Source organism: Homo sapiens, chromosome 2, assembly GCF_000001405.40.
Source record: "Homo sapiens chromosome 2, GRCh38.p14 Primary Assembly".
NCBI lineage: Eukaryota > Metazoa > Chordata > Mammalia > Primates > Hominidae > Homo > Homo sapiens.
In genome coordinates, this window is record NC_000002.12 from 2,973,311 (window position 1) to 2,990,981 (window position 17,671).

The following is a 17,671-nucleotide window of genomic DNA, read 5'->3' on the forward strand; positions in this document are numbered from 1 at the left end:
GTTCAATCTGGGTCCTAAGACAGGAGACGGCCAGTATTCCGGCCTGGAGACAGTTAGGCAGAGAGAGGGAGTTCTTTCTTCCTTAGTCTTTTGTTCTGTTCAGGCCTTCAGTGGAATGGATGAGGCCCACTCACTAGGGAGGCAGCCCACTGACCCAAATGCTGACTTCATGTAGAAGCACCCAGGATAAGGTTTAACCAACTGTCTGGGCACTCTGCAGCCCAGTAACACTGACACATAAATTTAACCTTCACAACTTCAAAACAGCACAACTTTCACCTATGTGTTTCAGCAGATTAGAAAAGAGTGTGCTTTGAGGCTGCCCCTCACCTGGGAACCCCAGTACTGACCTTGGAGGAGCCACAGGAGGAGGATCCCAGTTCTTCGGTAAATGTGGAGCATTTTGCTGACTTTCAGAACTGGAACATGGGCTCAATGTTTTCCTTGTCTGTGTCCCCTTTCTTTGGTTAATTGGAACTCTGCTTTCTAAGGACTAGGAATATAAGTTTCCTTATCTTTAATAGGGTTTGGGAGCTGAAGGAGGGGCCAGTCTCCGTATTACGACTAGATTGTCTGAGTACACCGTTTGACTCCTCTATCCCAGCCTAGCCAATCAGTTCCACCAAAAGCAGCAATTGGGACAGCCTGAGTGGGGAAAAAAAGAATAATAGTCTAATCCAGACTAATAATTTCCCATCAGTTCAATCACGATGATGTCTTCACTGGTTCTCCTTCCTCCAATTTCTCCTGGATCTACAACAGGGATGAGGTTGCCTGCCTAAAACATAGATCAGTTCATGAACTTCTCTATCAAAATCCTGCAATAATTTCCTACTACCAGCATCAGAAAACAAAGTGGCAAAGCCATGTGCGCCCAGCCCTGTGCAATCTGGTCATTCTATCTTTGCAGCCGCCGTCACCCCCAGCCCCAACACTGAATCCTTTCTCAACTCCCACCTTCCCGGACACTGGCCACACAGCTGTGGTCCAAACTCACCACGAAGGTTCTTCACGGCCAAGCCTGTGTTCAGCCTGGAAGCCCCTTGCCCCAGTTCTTCCCTTATTGAAATTATTCTCAAGCATCAGAGACCAATTCAATGGTCCCTCCTCTTGGAATCTCCTGGTTTTCCCAACAGGATGACCACTCCTTCCCCTCCACTGGCTGATGTCTCACCTAGCTCTCCACTAGTGCCAGTGCCCGTACACGTTGGGTTTCTTTACCCGTGCCTTTCCATGCCTCCTTAGGTCAAAGGCAGTGTGGTGTTTTTCTTTGTAGCTCTCGACATTACCATAGTTCCTGGCACAGAGTAGGTAATCAAAGAATTTTGATCTGCTAAATTTGATTCTCAAAAAAAGACTTTCTATTTGGTCTATGAGCATCTATACAAATTACCTAAAAATCTAACTTGTATCCTTATTCCTGTCATTTTGATCATGCAAATTTACACATGGCACTTATAAGTTTGTTTTAAGATAAATATAAATAAGGGCCCTCCTGTCAATATACTTCATAAAAATGAGGGAAAACATCTATTCGATTTAACATAATGACCTTCAAAGTTCCCCAAATCCCCTTAATAAAGCAATAGCTACACAAGCAAAGGGTAATGTACATTTCTTTTTTATTCTAACAAAAGTAATAAATTCCTCAATTTGGGAGCGTGAGGAAGGTTGGATGAGGCAATCAGGCATCTCCCTTCACACATTACCTCCCAGCTATGGATACAGAATGGAGCTCTGCTCTGCAGAGAGCCCTGTGATGCCTGTTCCTCACTCTCTCTCCACTTCAGTGTGCTGAGAGGGAGCTGAGCTCTAATTGCAGCCATATCAATCAAAGGGATTTCAGATTGCAGCACAACCTTCTCTAGCTGGAGTTAATTAGAATGCTGACATTTCCCAGACTGTCAGCTAAATGAATGCTTAGGAAGATGTGCATATACATCCAATGGGTAAATACAGGCTGTCAGAAACTCCTCCACAAAGCACACCCCAGCCCTTTCTGGTTCTGTCACCCTATACTACGGATAAGCGACTCACAACCTCCAGAGATGCAAACCCAGGGACCTGGGATGTTCTGTGAATTGCCCAGAAATCCATTTGAAATATAGTTAAATGGTAAACTCACCTACAAAATATTGAGCCATGCTTTACACAGCCATATTCTTTGCAATCCAGTGAAAATGTGGGCTAATTTTCATTAATGTGTATGCTTTAAACACAATAACCGTAATACCGTCATTACCAGATAACTAAATTAATATTCATTCCTGTTTGTTAAAATCCCGTCACTGGGAGATAGTGAAATGGTTGACATCCCCTGTTAGCTGCAGCATGAAAAGAGGAAAGAACTCATCTCGAGGTGCACAAACGCAGACAGAGTTTAAATATCACTGCTAATCTTACCAGATTAGAACTGAGGACCAGACTCCAGACTTCCAAATTTTCAACCTCTCACTTGAGGAAAACACTTGAGAGGAAAATTTTCATAACAAATGGGAACCAAGTCATGAAAGAATGACATGTCTTATACTGTAGAAGAAAGAAATGAAAGCCTATTTAAGTTTGTATTAAAGGGGACGAATAACCAGACATGTTTTGCTAGAAATAAGAACCCCCCCCTTTAAGTTCAAAAGAGACCGCAAGAACACATGAACGACCACCACCAAAACAATGGGCTGCTGTCATAGTGGATAGTCCTGCGCACCACAGCGTGATCCGGGCACTGGGTGTGCACCACCGTGCCCTGCGTAGTGGGCTTGACAGAGTCGCAGGGCCCTTCCTCAAGGCTGACTGGGTCCACTGGAGGACAAGAAAAGTGGTACAGCCTGTGGGGAAGTGTGAGGAAGGTGGTGATGGGAAGGCCAAAAGAAGCACAGGTCTGAAGATGGGTAGGATTTATTCAAGATGGGGAAGGGTGTGGGAAAAGAGATGGGGAAAGGAAGTATTTTAAGCAAAGAAAAGTGCACATGGGGAAGTATCTGGGCACAGAAGGTGAAACACCTTGGAGAAGCACAGAGATGCTCACAGGAGGTGAACGGCCTTGGAGAGGCACAGAGATGCTCGCTACAGCCGGAGGGAAGAGCAGGAGTCTGGAGTGGAGGAAATTATGCTGCAGAAGAAGGCAGGCGCGAGGTCAGGCAAGCCAGGGAGGAAGATGGGAAGAACTAGAGACTTCTAAAGGTTTTACACACAGGAAGCTGTAGCATCAAACTCACCTTTCATAAATCTTCCAGAATAAACTGAACATATTCTTTTTTCACTCCTACTCATCTCTAGTTTTGTGGGTTAGATTGCTTTTTTTTTTTGAGACAGAGTCTTGCTCTGTCACCCAAGCTGGAGTGCAGTGGCGTGATCTCGGCTCAGCTGCAACCTCCACCTCCTGGGTTCAAGCGATTCTCCTGCCTCAGCCTCCCGAGTAGCTGGGACTACAGGCATGTGCCATCACGCCCAGCTAATTTTTGTATTTTTAGTAGAGAAAGGAGTTTGCCATGCTGGCCAGGCTGGTCTCGAACTCCTGACCTCAAGTGATCCACCCACCTCAGTCTCCCAAAGTGCTGGGATTACAAGCGTGAGCCACCACACCTGGCCAAATTGCTTTCATATTTATTTAAGTAGAATGTATTGATTTATAATTGACATACCACAGAATTCATCCATCAAACGTGTACAATATCATAATCAATGGCAAAAATCTGAAAGCATTTCCTTTAAGATCTGGTATAAGGCAAAGATGTCTGTTCTCACCACTTCTGTTTAACACAGTATTAAAAGTACTAGCAAGAGAATCAGACAAGAAAAGGAATAAAATGCATCCAAATAAGCAAAAGTAAAATTATTCCTGTTTGTAGATGACAAAATCCTACATGTAAAAAACCCTTAAGACTCCACAAATAACTGATAAAATTAATAAATGAATTTAGTAAAGTTGCAGTATATAAAATTAACATATATTAACATATAAAAATCAGTTTTATTTCTTTACACCAATCTATTCAAAAAAGAAATAAAGAAAAATACCATTCATAATAGCATCAAAAAGAATAAATACCTAGGAAAAATATTTAACCAAGGGAGTGAAAGATCTGTACACTGAAAATTATAAATCATTGTTGAAAGAAACTGAACAATATGCAAATAAATGTGATGACATTTCATGTTCATAAATTGGAAGAATTAGTATCATTAAAATGTCCACACTACCCACAGCAATATAGAAATTCAATGCAATTCCTAGAAATATTGCAATGACATTTTTCACAGAAATAGAAAAACATATCTTAAATTTATATGGAACTACAAAAACCCTGAGTAGTCAAAACAGACTTGAGAAAGAAAAACAAATTAGAGGCATCACACTTCCAGATTTCAAATTATATTACAAAGCTACAGTAATCAAAACAGTTTGGTAGTGGCATAAAAGCAAATATATAGACCAATGGATCAGAATAAATAGCCCAGAAATAAACCCACACATATATTAGTAGTGTATATCTTGACAAGGCCACCAAGAAAACAGAATGGTGAAACGATAGTCTCTTCAATAAATGATGGTGAGAAAGTTGACTATCCATATGCAGAAAAAAAAAAAACTGGGTCCTTATCTTACACTATTTACAAAAATCAACTTATAATTGATTAAAGACCTAAACCTAAGACTTGGAATTATAAACCTACTAGAAGAAAACATGGAGAAGAAAACTCCTTGATACCGGCTTTGGCAATTTTTTTTTAATATCACACCAAAAGCTCAGGCAACAAAATAAAAAAAAAAGTGGAACTACATCAAATTAAAAAGCTTCTGTAGAGCAAATGAAACAAACAACAAAATAAGAAAGTAGCCAACATAGTGAGAGAAAATATTTGTGAACCCTGTACTAGACAAGGGGTTAATATTCCAAATATGTAAGGAACTCACACTACTCAACAGCAAAACATCAAATAGCTCAATTTTTAAATGGGAAAATAACCTCAATAAACATTTCTCCAAGAAAGTCATATAAAAATGGCCAATGAAAAAGTGCTCAGCATCACTAATCATCAGAGAAATGCAAATTAAAAGCATACTGAGATAATACCACACACCTATTAGAATAGCTATTGTGAAAAGGAAAAGATATAACAAGTGTTGGTGAGGATGTAGAGAGGGAACCCTTGTATACCATTAATGGAAATGTAGATGGGTGCAACCATTGTGGAAAACAGTATGGAAGTTACTAAAGAAATTTAAAATATAACTACCATATGACCCAGGAATCCCTCTTCTGGGTAAATACTCAAAGGAGATGAAACCACCACCTTGTAAAGATATCTGCACACACATGTTCACTGCAGCATAGATGTGCAATAGCCGAGATGTGGAAACAATCTAAGTATTCATCAATGGAGGAATGGATAAAGAAGTTGTGGTGTATACTGTAAAGACACAGATAGACTGAAAGTAAAGGGGTGGTAAAATATATTTCATGCAAACAGAAATTGAAAGTAAATAATAGTAGCTATATTTATATAATATAGAACAGACTTTAAATGAAAAACAGTGAAAAAAGAAAGAAAAGGTAATTATATTATGATAAAGGGATCAATTCAGTGAGAGGATATAACAATCCTAAATATATATGCATCCAATATTAGAGAACACAAATTCACAAAACTAATATTACTAGACCTAAAGAAAGAGAAAGACCAGAATACAATAATAGCAGAGGACTTTAATACCCCACTCACAGCACTAGAAAGATCATTGAGAGAGAAACTTGACAAAGAAACTTCAATGGGACTTGAATTGGACTTTAGACAGACATTTACAGAACATTCTACCAAACAACTACAGAATACACATTCTTTTCAACAGTACATGAAACATTCTCCACCATAGGCCTCAAAACAAATCTTGACAATTTTTTAAATATCAAAATCATATCAAGTACCTTCTCAGACCACAGTGGAAGAAAGCTGGAAACCAATACCAAGAGAAACTTTGGAAACTATATAAATACATGGAGATTAATAGGCATCCTCCTGAACGATCACAGGGTCAATGAAGAAATTCAGATGGAAATTAAAAATTGTTGGAAACCAATGAAAACAAAAATACAACACATCAAACCTGAGGGATACAGCAAAAGAAGTGTTAAGAGGGAAGTTTATAGCATTAAAAGCCTGCATGAAAATAAAGTAGAAAAACCACAAATTAACAACTTAATGTTGCACTTCAAGGAACCAGAGAAACAAGAACAAACCAAACCCAAAGTTAGCAGAAGAAAAGAAATAACAAAAATCAGAGCAAAACTAAGTGAAAAAGAGACAGAAAAAACAATGGAAAGAATCCACAACATGAAAAGTTGGTTCTTTGAAGACACTCAGTTCTTTGAAGAGATAAAGAAAATTGATAAAACACTAGCTAGACTGACCAAGAGAAAAAGAGAGAAGATGCAAATAAACACAATTGTAAGTGAAAAAGAAGACATTACAATTGATACTACAGAAATATAAAAGATATCAGAGAATATTATATGCAACTATACACTCACAAACTAGAAAATGTAAAGGAAATTTATAAACTCTTGGAAACACACAACCTCCTGAGATTGAACCAGGAAGAAATAGAACTCCTAAATAGATCAATAATGAGTAGTGAGATTTAATTAGTAACAAAAAAATCTCCCAGGGGGAAAAAAAAAAAAACCAGGATCAGATAGATTCATAGCCAAATGCTACCAACATACAAAGAAGAACCAACACCAGTATTCCTGAAATTATTCCATAAAATCAAGAAGGAAGGAATTCTTCCTAACTCATTCTGCAAAGCCAGTACTACTCTGATACGGAAACAAGACAAGGACACAACAAATAAAGAAAACTACAGACCAATATCTCTAATGAGCATAGATGCAAAACTTCCCAACAAAACACTAGTGAATCAAATCCAACAGCACATCAGAAAGATAATGCACTATGATTAGGTAGGACTTACCCCAGGGATCCAAAGATGTTTCAACATACACAAATCAATAAATGTGATACATCACATAAATAGAATTAAGGACAAAAATCACATGATCATCTCAATAGATGCAGAAAAAGGACTTTATAAAATATAACATGGCTTCATGATTAAAATCCTCAACAAACCAGGCATTGAAGGAACGTAACTCAACATAATAAAGGCCACATACAACAAACCCACAACAAACATCATATGGAATAGGTAAAAGTTGAAAGCGTTTCCTCTAAGAACTGGACGAGACAAGGATGCTCACTTTCACCACTCTCATTCAACATAGTACTGAAAGTCCTTGCTGGAGCAATCAAACAAGATAAAGAAAAAAAGGCATTCAAATTGTAAAGGAGGAAGTCATATTATCCCTGTTTGCTCACAATATGATATCTAGAAAACCTTAAAGACTCCACCAAGAAACTCTTAGATTTCATAAGTGAATTCAGTAAAGTTTCAGGATACAAAATTAACATGCAGAAAGCAGTTGCATTTTCTACACCAATAATGATGTAGCCGGGAACCAAATCAAGAAGACAATCTCATTTACAATAGCTAAAAAAATAAAATAAAATGCCTGGAACATATTTAACCAGGGAGATGAAAGATCTCTATAAGGAGAACTACAAAATCATAGATGACACACAAAAAAATGGTAAAACTTCTCATGCTCATGGATTGGAAGAATCAATACTGTTAAAATGACTGTACTGCCCAAAACAATTTACAAATTCAATGCACTCCCTATCAAATTACCAATATCATTTTTCACAGAATTAGAAAAGACAATCCTAAAATTCATATGGAATCAAAATAAAGAGTGCACATAACCAAAGTAATCTTAAGCCAAAAAACAAAACTGAAAGCATCACATTATCTGACTTCAGATTATATTATTAGGGTGGTGCAAAAGTAGCTGCGGTTTTTGCCATTACTTTCAAGGCTATAGTAACCAAAACAGCATGGTACTGGTATAAAAATAGACACATAGATCAATGGAACACAACAGAGAATCCAGAAATAAAGCCACATACCTACAACCAACTCTGACAAAGTCACAAAAATATACACTGAGGAAATGACACTCTATTCAATAAATGGTACAGAGAAAATTAGATAGCCATATGCAGAAGAATGAAACTGGACCCATGCCTCTCATTATATACAAAAGTTAACTCAGGATGGATTAAAAACATAAACGTAAGGCCTGAAACTATTTTTATTTTTATTATACTTTAAGTTCTAGGATACATGTGCACAACATGCAGGTTTGTTACTTATGTATACATGTGCCATGTTGGTGTGCTGCACCCATTAACTCGTCATTTACATTAGGTATGTCTCCTAATGCTATCCCCTCCCCCCTCCCCCCACCCCACGACAGGCCCTGGCGTGTGATGTTCCCCTTCCTGTGTCCAAGTGTTCTCATTGTTCAATTCCCACCGATGAGTGAGAACATGCGGTGTTTGGTTTTTTTGTCCTTGTGATAGTTTGCTGAGAATGATGGTTTCCAGTTTGGTCCATGTCCCTACAAAGGACATGAACTCATCCTTTTTTATGGCTGCATAGTATTCCATAGTGTATATATGCCACATTTTCTTATTCCAGCCTATCATTGATGGACATTTGGGTTAATGGGATCTAATTAAACTAAAGATCTTCTGCACAGCAAAAGAAACTACCATCAGAGTGAACAGGCAACCTACAGAATGGGAGAAAATTTTTGCAATCTATTCATTTGACAAAGGCCTAACATCCAGAGTCTACAAAGAACTCAAACAAACTTATAAGAAAAACAAACAACCCCATCAAAAAGTGGGCGAAGGATATGAACAGACACTTCTCAAAAGAAGACATTTATGCAGCCAACAGACACATGAAAAAATGCTCATCATCACTGGCCATCAGAGAAATGCAAATCAAAACCACAATGAGATACCATCTCACACCAGTTAGAATGGAGATCATTGAAAAGTCAGGAAACAACAGGTGCTGGAGAGGATGTGGAGAAATAGGAGCACTTTTACACTGTTGGTGGGAATGTAAACTAGTTCAACCATTGTGGAAAACAATGTGGCGATTCCTCAAGGATCTAGAACTACAAATAGCATTTGACCCAGCCATCCCATTACTGGGTATATACCCAAGGGATTATAAATCATGCTGCTATAAAGACACATGCACACGTATGTTTATTGCGGCATTATTCACAATAGCAAAGACTTGGCCTGAAACTATTTTTAAAAAAATACTAGAAGAAACCTTAGGAAAATCTTTTCTGCACATTGGTCTAGCCAAAGAATTTATGACCAAGCCCTCAATAGCAAATGCAATAAAAACGAAGATAAACAAATGAGACTTAATTAAACTAAAAAGCTTCTGCACAGCAAAAGAAACAATCAACAGAGTAAACAGATAATCTACAGAATGGGAAAAAATATTTGCAAACTATGCATCTGGCAAAGGGCTGGTATCCAAAATCTACAAGAAACTCAAACAACTTAGCAAGATAAAATCAACCCCATTATAAGTGGGCAAAGGACATGAACAGCCATTTTTCAAAAGAAAACATACAAGTGGCTAAGAAACATAAAAATTACTCAACATCACTAATCATCAGAAAAAAATCAAATTAAAATCACAATAAAATACCATCTTACAACAGTCAGAATCACTATTATTTAGAAAATCTAAAAATAACAGATGTTAGTGAGGATGCAGAGCAAAGTGAATGCTTATACACTGTTGGTAGGAATGTAAATTGGTACAAACTTTATGGAAAACAATATGACGACTTTTCAAAGAACTAAAAATAGAACTGCCATTTGATCCAGCAATCCCACTACTGAATATATATCCAAAAGGAAAGAAATCATTGTATGAAAAAGATACCTACATTCAAATGTTTATGGCAGCACTATTCACAATAGCAAAGATGTGTAATCAACTTAAGTGTCCATCAATGGAGGACTGGATAAGAAAATATATATATATATATATATATATATATATATATATATATATATATACACACACACACATATATGTACTTTTTTATGGCTAAGTAGTATTTCATCATGTATATATATATATATATATATATATATATATATATGCATTTTTTCTTATCCAATCCTGCATTGATATGGTATGTGTTTATACAGTATGTATATATATGTATGCATTTATACATTGATATATATATACACACACATACCATGAAATACTACTCAGTCATAAAAAAAGAATGAAATCATGTTATGTACAGTAACATGGATGGAACTGGAGGCCAATATTACTTGTAATGGCAAAAACCACAATTACTCTTGCACCAACCTAGTATTAATAGCTCAGAAACAGATAAATTCTGCTTGTTCTCATTTATAAGCAAAAGCTATAAAACATGGGTACACATGGACATATAGAGTGAAATAATAGACACTGGATGCTACAAAAGTGGAGGGGTGAGAGGGTGCAAGGGTTGAATAATTACCTGTTGGGTACAATGTTCCCTACTTGGGTGATGGGTTCACCAAAAGCTCGGACTTCACCATGACACAGTATATGCGTTAAGAAATCTATACTTGTACCTCTCACCATATAAAAATTTAAAAATGTATATATTTTCTATAAACATTTTAAATGTATTTATATAATATAAAGCCACACACCTACAACCATCTGATCTTTGACAAAGTTGACAGTAACAAGCAATGGGGAAAGAACTTCCTATAAAATAAATGGTGCTGGGATAACTGGCCAGCCATATGCAGAAGATTGAAACTAGACTCCTTCCTTTCACCATATACAAAAATCAACTCAGGATGGATTAAAGATTTAAATGTAAACCTAAAACTATATAACCCTAAAAGAAAACCTAGTAAATACCATCCTGGACAGAGGCCTTGGCAAAGATTTTCATGACAAAGTCCCCAAAAGCAAACACAACAATACCACAAATAGACAAGTGGAACTTCATTAAAGTAAAGAGCTTCTGCATAACAAAATAAACTCTCAATAGAATAAACAGACAACTTACAGAATGGGAGAATATATTTCCAACTATGCATTCAACTAAAGTGTAAAATCCAGAATTTATAAGGAACTCAAACAAATCAAGTACAAACAAACAACCCCATTAAAAATGGGCAAAGAACACAAACAGACACTTCTCAAAAAAAAGACATACACATGGCCAGCAAACATATGAAAAAATGCTCCACATCAGTAATCATTAGAGAAATGCAAATCAAAACTGCAATGAGATACCATCTCACATTAGTCAGAATGGCTGTTATTTAAGAGTCAAAAAATAACAGATATTGACGAGGTTGCAGAGAAAAGGGCACACTTATACACTGCTGATTGGAATGTAAATTAGTACAGCCACTGTGGAAAACAGTTTGGAGATTTTTCGAAAACTGAAAGCAGAGCTACCATTTGATTCAGCAGTCCCTCTACTGGATATATACCGATAGGAATATAAATCACTCTACCATAAAGACACACGCACGCTTCGGCTGGGCATGGTGGCCCATGCCTGTAATGCCAGCATTTTAGGAGGCTAAGGCAGGTGGATCGTTTGAGTGAAGGAGTTCGGGACCACCCCGGGCAACACGGTGAAACCCTGTCTACTAAAAATACAAAAATTCGCCAGGCATGGTGGCACACGCTGTAGTCCCAGCTACTTGGGCGGCTGAGGTGGGAGGATTGCTTGAGCCCAGGAGGCAGAGGTTGCAGCAAGCTAAGTTCATGCCACTGCACTCCAGCCTAGGTGACAGAGCAAGTCCCTGTCTCAAAAAAAGAAAAAGAAAAAGACACAAGCATGCTTCACGCCTTCATCACAGCACTATTCACAACAGCAAAATCATGGAATCCACCTAGATGCCTGTCAATAGTGGACTGGATAAAGAAAATGTGGTACATAAACACCATAGAATGCTACATGGCCATTGAAAAGAATGAAATGGTGTCCTTGGTAGCAACAAGAATGCAGCCAGAGGCCATTATCCTAGATGAATTAATGTAGGAACAGAAAACCACATTTCACATGTTCTTGCTTGCTGTGGGAGCTAAACATTGAGTACACATGGACACAAAGATGAGAACGACAGGTACCAGGGACTACTAGAGGAGGGAGGGTGGGAGAAGGGTAGGGGTTGAAAAACTACCTATTAGGTGCTATGCTCGCTGTCTGGGTGATAAAATTATTTGTACACTAAATTCTAGCAACATACAATTTACTCATGTAACAAACCTGCACATCTACCCTCTGAATCTAAAGTAATAGTTGGGAAAAAATGGAGCGTATGGTAACAGAGAGTAGAAAGGTGCTTACCAAGGCTGGAGCAAATGGGAAGATGTAGGTCAAAAACTACAAAGATGCAGTTATCTTGAGAAACTAAGTCTGGAGATACAATGTACAGTATGAGGACTACAGTTAATAAAATTACAGTGTATACTGGAAATTTGCTAAGAAAGTAGATTTTATATACTCTTACCATACACACACACACACACACACAGAATGAGATGATGAATATGTTAAGATAATTGACTATAATAATCACTTTACTATTTATATATGTATCAAAACATGTTGTATACCTTAAATCCACACAATAAAAATACAGAGGAAAAGAATACAACTCAATGTTTATCAGTATAGTCATAGGGTTTTGCAACCATCACTAATGTTTAATTTTAGAACGTTGTCATCTCTTCACAAAGAAATCTCTGCACCTCTTAGCAGTCATTCCTCATTCCTTCCCCCAAACTTTCTCCAGCCACTGGCACCATCAAGCTACTGTCTGTTTTCATAATTTGCCTGTTCCTGACATTGCATATCAATGCTTTTACACAATATGTGTCCTTTTATGACTGGCTTTTCCCCTCAGCATAAAGCTTTGAAGGTTCATCCATGTTGCAGCAAGCATCAGTACTACATTCCTTTCCATCATCAAATGATATTCCATTGCAAAATGTACCTTATTTGTTCATCCACTCATCAATGAGCATTAAGGTTGTTTTCACATTTTGGCTACTATGAATACTACTTCTATGAACCATCTTGTACTAGTTTTTGTGTGGACATATGTTTGCAGTTTTCTTGGGTGTGCACCTAGGAGTAGAATTACTAAGTCATCTGGTAACTTTAACATTTTGAGGAAATGCCAAACTATATTCAAAAGTGGCTGCACAATTTTACATACCACCAGCACTTCATGAGGGCTCCACCTTCTCCACATCCTTGTCAACACTTGTTATTGCCTATCTTTTTGTCCTAGCCATCTTAGCAAGTGTGAAGTGGTAATTCACTGTGCTTTCGATTTGTATTTTCCTGATTATGAATGATATTGAGCACCTTTCATGTGTTCATTGGCCATTGTATATCTTCTTTGGAAAAAAAGTCTGTTCAATTCTCTGCCTTTTTTTTTAGTTTCTTGTCTTTTTATTATTGAGTTTTAAAAGTTCTTTATATAATCTGAATAAAAGCCTCTTATCAGATATATGATTTGCAAATAGATTCTTCCATTCTCTGAGTGGTCTTTCTTCTGTCTTGATGAAATCACTTTTAGCACAAATTTTTGGTTTCATTTTAGTGTCAACAAATGTATTTATATTTTTCTTTTGTTGCTTGTTTTATAGTTTTTGGTATATAATTCATGCCCTACTTTTGTTAAACTTATGCTTGAGTATTTTATTCTTTATGACATTATGGAAGTGTGTTTTTAATTTTAATTCCAAAACGTTGACTGTTATTGCAAAAATATGGAACCAGCCCAAATGCCCATCAATGAGTGGATAAAGAAAACGTGGTATATATACATATACACACACACATATACATACCATGGAATACTACTCAACCACAAAAAGGAATGAAATAATGGTATTTGCAGCAACCTGGATGAGACTGGAGACTATTATTCAAAGTGAAGTAACTCAAGAATGGAAAACCAAGCATTATATGTTCTCACTCACATGTGGGAGCTGAGCTAGGAGGACACAAAGGCATAAGAATGATACACTGGACTTTGGGGACTCAGAGGAAAGGGTAGGAGGTGGCAAGGGATAAAAGTCTACACATTAGGTACAGGGTATACTGCTGGCGTGATGGGTGCACCAAAATCTCAGAAATCACCACTAAAGAACTTATTCATGTAACCAAACACCACCTGTTCCCTCAAAACCAATTTAAATAAAATTTTTTTAAAAAACTTTAAACGTTGATTGCTAGAGTATAAAAATAGAATTGATTTTGTTGACTTTCTTTTTTAACTTTTAAGTTCAGGGGAACATGTGCAGGATGTGCAGTTTTGTTACATAGGTAAACATGTGTCAAGGGAGTTTGTTTTACAGATTATTTCATCACCCAGGTATTAAGCCTAGTATCCACTAGTTACTTTTTCTGATCCTCTCCCTTCTCCCACCTTCCACCCTCTGACAGGGTGCTCAGAGATTTGAATAGACATTTATCCAAAGAAGATATACAATGACTAATGAACATATGAAAAGTGCTCAACATCATTAATAATTAGGAAAATACAAATCAAAACCGCAATGAAATACACTTCACACTTGCTAAAATGGCTATGACAAAAAAGACAGGCAATAACAAATGTTAGCAAGGATGTGGAGAAGGTGAAGCCCTCATGCAGTGCTGGTGGTAACGTAAAATTATGCAGCCACTTTGAAACGTAGTTTGGCATTTCCTCAAAATGTTAAAGTTACCAGATGACTTAGTAATTCTACTCCTAGGTGTACACCCAAGAAAAATACAAACATATATCCACACAAAAGCTAGTAAGAGACTGTTCACCCCAGTGTGTGTTGTTGCCCTCTATGTGTCCATGTGCTCTCATCATTTAGCTGCCACTTCTAAGTGAGGACATGCAGTATTTGGCTTTCTGTTCCTGCGTTAGTTTGCTAAAGTTAATGGTCTCCAGCTCCAAACATGTCCCTACAAAAAACACGGTCTCATTCTTTTTTATGGCTGCATAGTATTCCATCATGTGTATGCACCACACTTTCTTTATTCAGTCTATCATTGATGGACATTTAAGTTGATTTTATGTATTTGCTATTGTGAATGGTTCTAAAATGAACATAGGCATGCATGTGTCTTTATAACAGAAAGATTTATATTCCTTTGGGTATATACCCAGTAATGGGATTGCTGGGTCGAATGGTATTTCTGTCTTTCATTCTTTGAGGAATTTCCATGCTGTCTTCCACGATGGCTGAACTAATTTACACTCCCATCAAGAGTGTATAAGCATTCCTTTTCCTCCACAACCTAGCTAGCATCTGTTATTTTTTGTCTTTTTAATAGTAGTCATTCTGACTGATGTGAGATGGTATCTCATTGTGGTTCTGGTTGGCATTTCTCTAATAATTAGTGATGTTGAGCTTTCTTCGTATGATTTTTGGCCAAGTGTGTGTCTTCTTTTGAGAAGTGTCTGTTCATGTTCTTTGCCCACTTTTTAATGGTTTTGTTTTTTTCTTGTAAATTTCTTTTATGTTTCTTATAGATGTTAGATATTAGACCTTTGTCAGAAGCATAGTTTGAAAACATTTTCTCCCACTCTGTAGGTTGTCTATTTATTCTGTTGATAGTTTCTTTTGCTATGCAGAAGCTCTTTAGTTTAATTAGATCCCATTTGTCAACTTTTGCTTTCGTTGAAATTGCTTTTGGCATCTTCGTCATGAAATCTTTTCCCATGCCTATGTCCTGAATGGTATTGCCTAGGTTGTCTTCCAGGCTTTTTATAGTTTTGGGTTTTACATTTAAGTCTTTAATCCATCTTGAGAATTTTTGTATATGGCATAAGGAAGGGGTCCAGTTTCAATTTTCTGCATATGGCTAGCCAGTTATCTCAACACCATTTATTGAATAGAGAGTCCTTTCCTCATTGCTTGTGTTTGTCAGGTTTGTCAAAGATCAAATAGTTGTAGATGTGCAATCTTATTTCTGGGTTCTCTATTCTGTTCCATTCATCTATGTGTCTACTTTTGTACTAGTACCATGCTGTTTTGGCTACTGTAGTCTTGTAGTATAGTTTGAAGTTGGGTAGTGTGATGTCTCTAGCTTTGTTCTTTTGTGTAGGATTGCTTTGGTTATTTTGGCTCCTTTTCGGTTCTATATAAATTTTTAAATAGTTTTCTCTAGTTCTGTGAAGAATATCAATGGTAGTTTCATAGAAATAGCACTGAATCTATGGTTTAATTAATTTTCTTTATGGGTTTTCTACTCTCCATTTTATTTATTAACTCTCTAATCTTTATTATTCCTCTCTATTTGCTTTTAGTTTAGTTTGCTCTTCTTTTTTTAGTGTCCTAATGTGAAAATTAGGTTGTTGATATGAGATCTTTCTCATATCAATAACATAGATATTTACAGGTATAAATTTTCCTCTAAGCACTGCTTTCGCTGCATCTCATAAGTTTTGGTATGTTGTGTTTTTATTTTTGCCTATCTCAAGATATTTTCTAATTTCTCTTTTGATGTATTCCCTGATCCATTGATTATTTACATGTATGTTATGTAATTTCCACATATTTGTAAGTTTTCATAATTTCCATCCATGTTGCCTCAAAGGACATGATTTCATTCTTTTTCATGGCTGTGTGGTATTCCATGGTGTATATGTACCATATTTTCTTTATCCAGCCTGTCATTGATGGGCATTTAGGTTGATTCCATGTCTTTGCTATCATGAATAGTGCTGCAATGAACACTTCTATGCATGTGTCTCTATGAATGAACTCTTTATATTTTGGGGGGTATATATCCAGTAATGGGATTGCTGGGTTGAATGGTATTTCCATGTTTAGGTCTTTGGGGAATCACCACACTGTCTTATACAATGATTGGACTAATTTTCATTTGGTTCTTTTTATTGGAAGTTGAGAATCCAGAAAGTAGGGAAATCTCATGCTGATTTCCGCTTTTTTTCTGTCTTCTAAGATCAAATTTATTTAAGACTTTGGATACACCTCCTGCCAGATCCATCTCCATTTTCATTTACTGATTAAACAGAAAGGAAGGGAGGGAGGAGAGAACAAAAGTAAAAGAAAAGTGAGGCCAGGGAAGGCAGTAACAGAATGGGAAGGGGGAGAAGGAAACAGCAGAACCGAGCAGAGCAGGATGCACACAGGCATGACTCCATCCCTGAACCCAACCATGGAGCCTGGGAGAGGCCACAGCCCATGACAACCCCAGAGCACAGGGGCTGACCTCAGCATGTGTGGGAAATAGGGACCCAGTCTCCTACTGAACTTCCATTCCCCTAATACTGCCTAGCCCCACCTTCCTCACGACGTTAAGAATGTTTTCCTGAAGACAGGCCAATCATCAAACCAGTGTCCAAAGTGCTGAGTTGAAGTGAAATAGGTTACTCTGCCATGGAACTTCTCAAAGTCTTTCGTCCTGATTTATAAGGAGAATAGCAAAGAGGGAGATGCACGTGAAAGTCCTCAATCGACCTGACCATGGAATCCTTGGTCGTGGGACATCTCTTGGTGCATGTGTTCTTTGGAACATCTTGGACAACATTGGTCTCTGTTCCATCAATTATTTAGCAGCATGCTCCCCTTGTAATATTCACCATATTTTCACAAATTCTAGGACGACTCACTATTATGAGTGCAAGCAGCTAAGACCATTCCTCACAC

The 17,671-nt window shown here is 37.2% G+C and overlaps 1 long non-coding RNA gene across 1 annotated transcript in view, besides 1 other annotated feature; it reads right to left on the reverse strand.

Annotated features, from left to right (window-relative positions):
• LINC01250 (long intergenic non-protein coding RNA 1250) overlaps nucleotides 1-17,671 on the reverse strand; it is a 230,979-nt gene that overhangs the window by 78,263 nt on the left and 135,045 nt on the right. The window lies entirely within an intron of this gene.
• Nucleotides 624-793: an enhancer, noted in NCBI's record as "experimental_58239 CRE fragment used in MPRA reporter constructs". NCBI's record gives its function as "activates a minimal promoter by MPRAs in K562 erythroleukemia cells, with activity observed for both the introgressed and non-introgressed 2:2977791 variant alleles {active_cell/tissue: K562}" and the evidence as "EXISTENCE:reporter gene assay evidence [ECO:0000049][PMID:34662402]".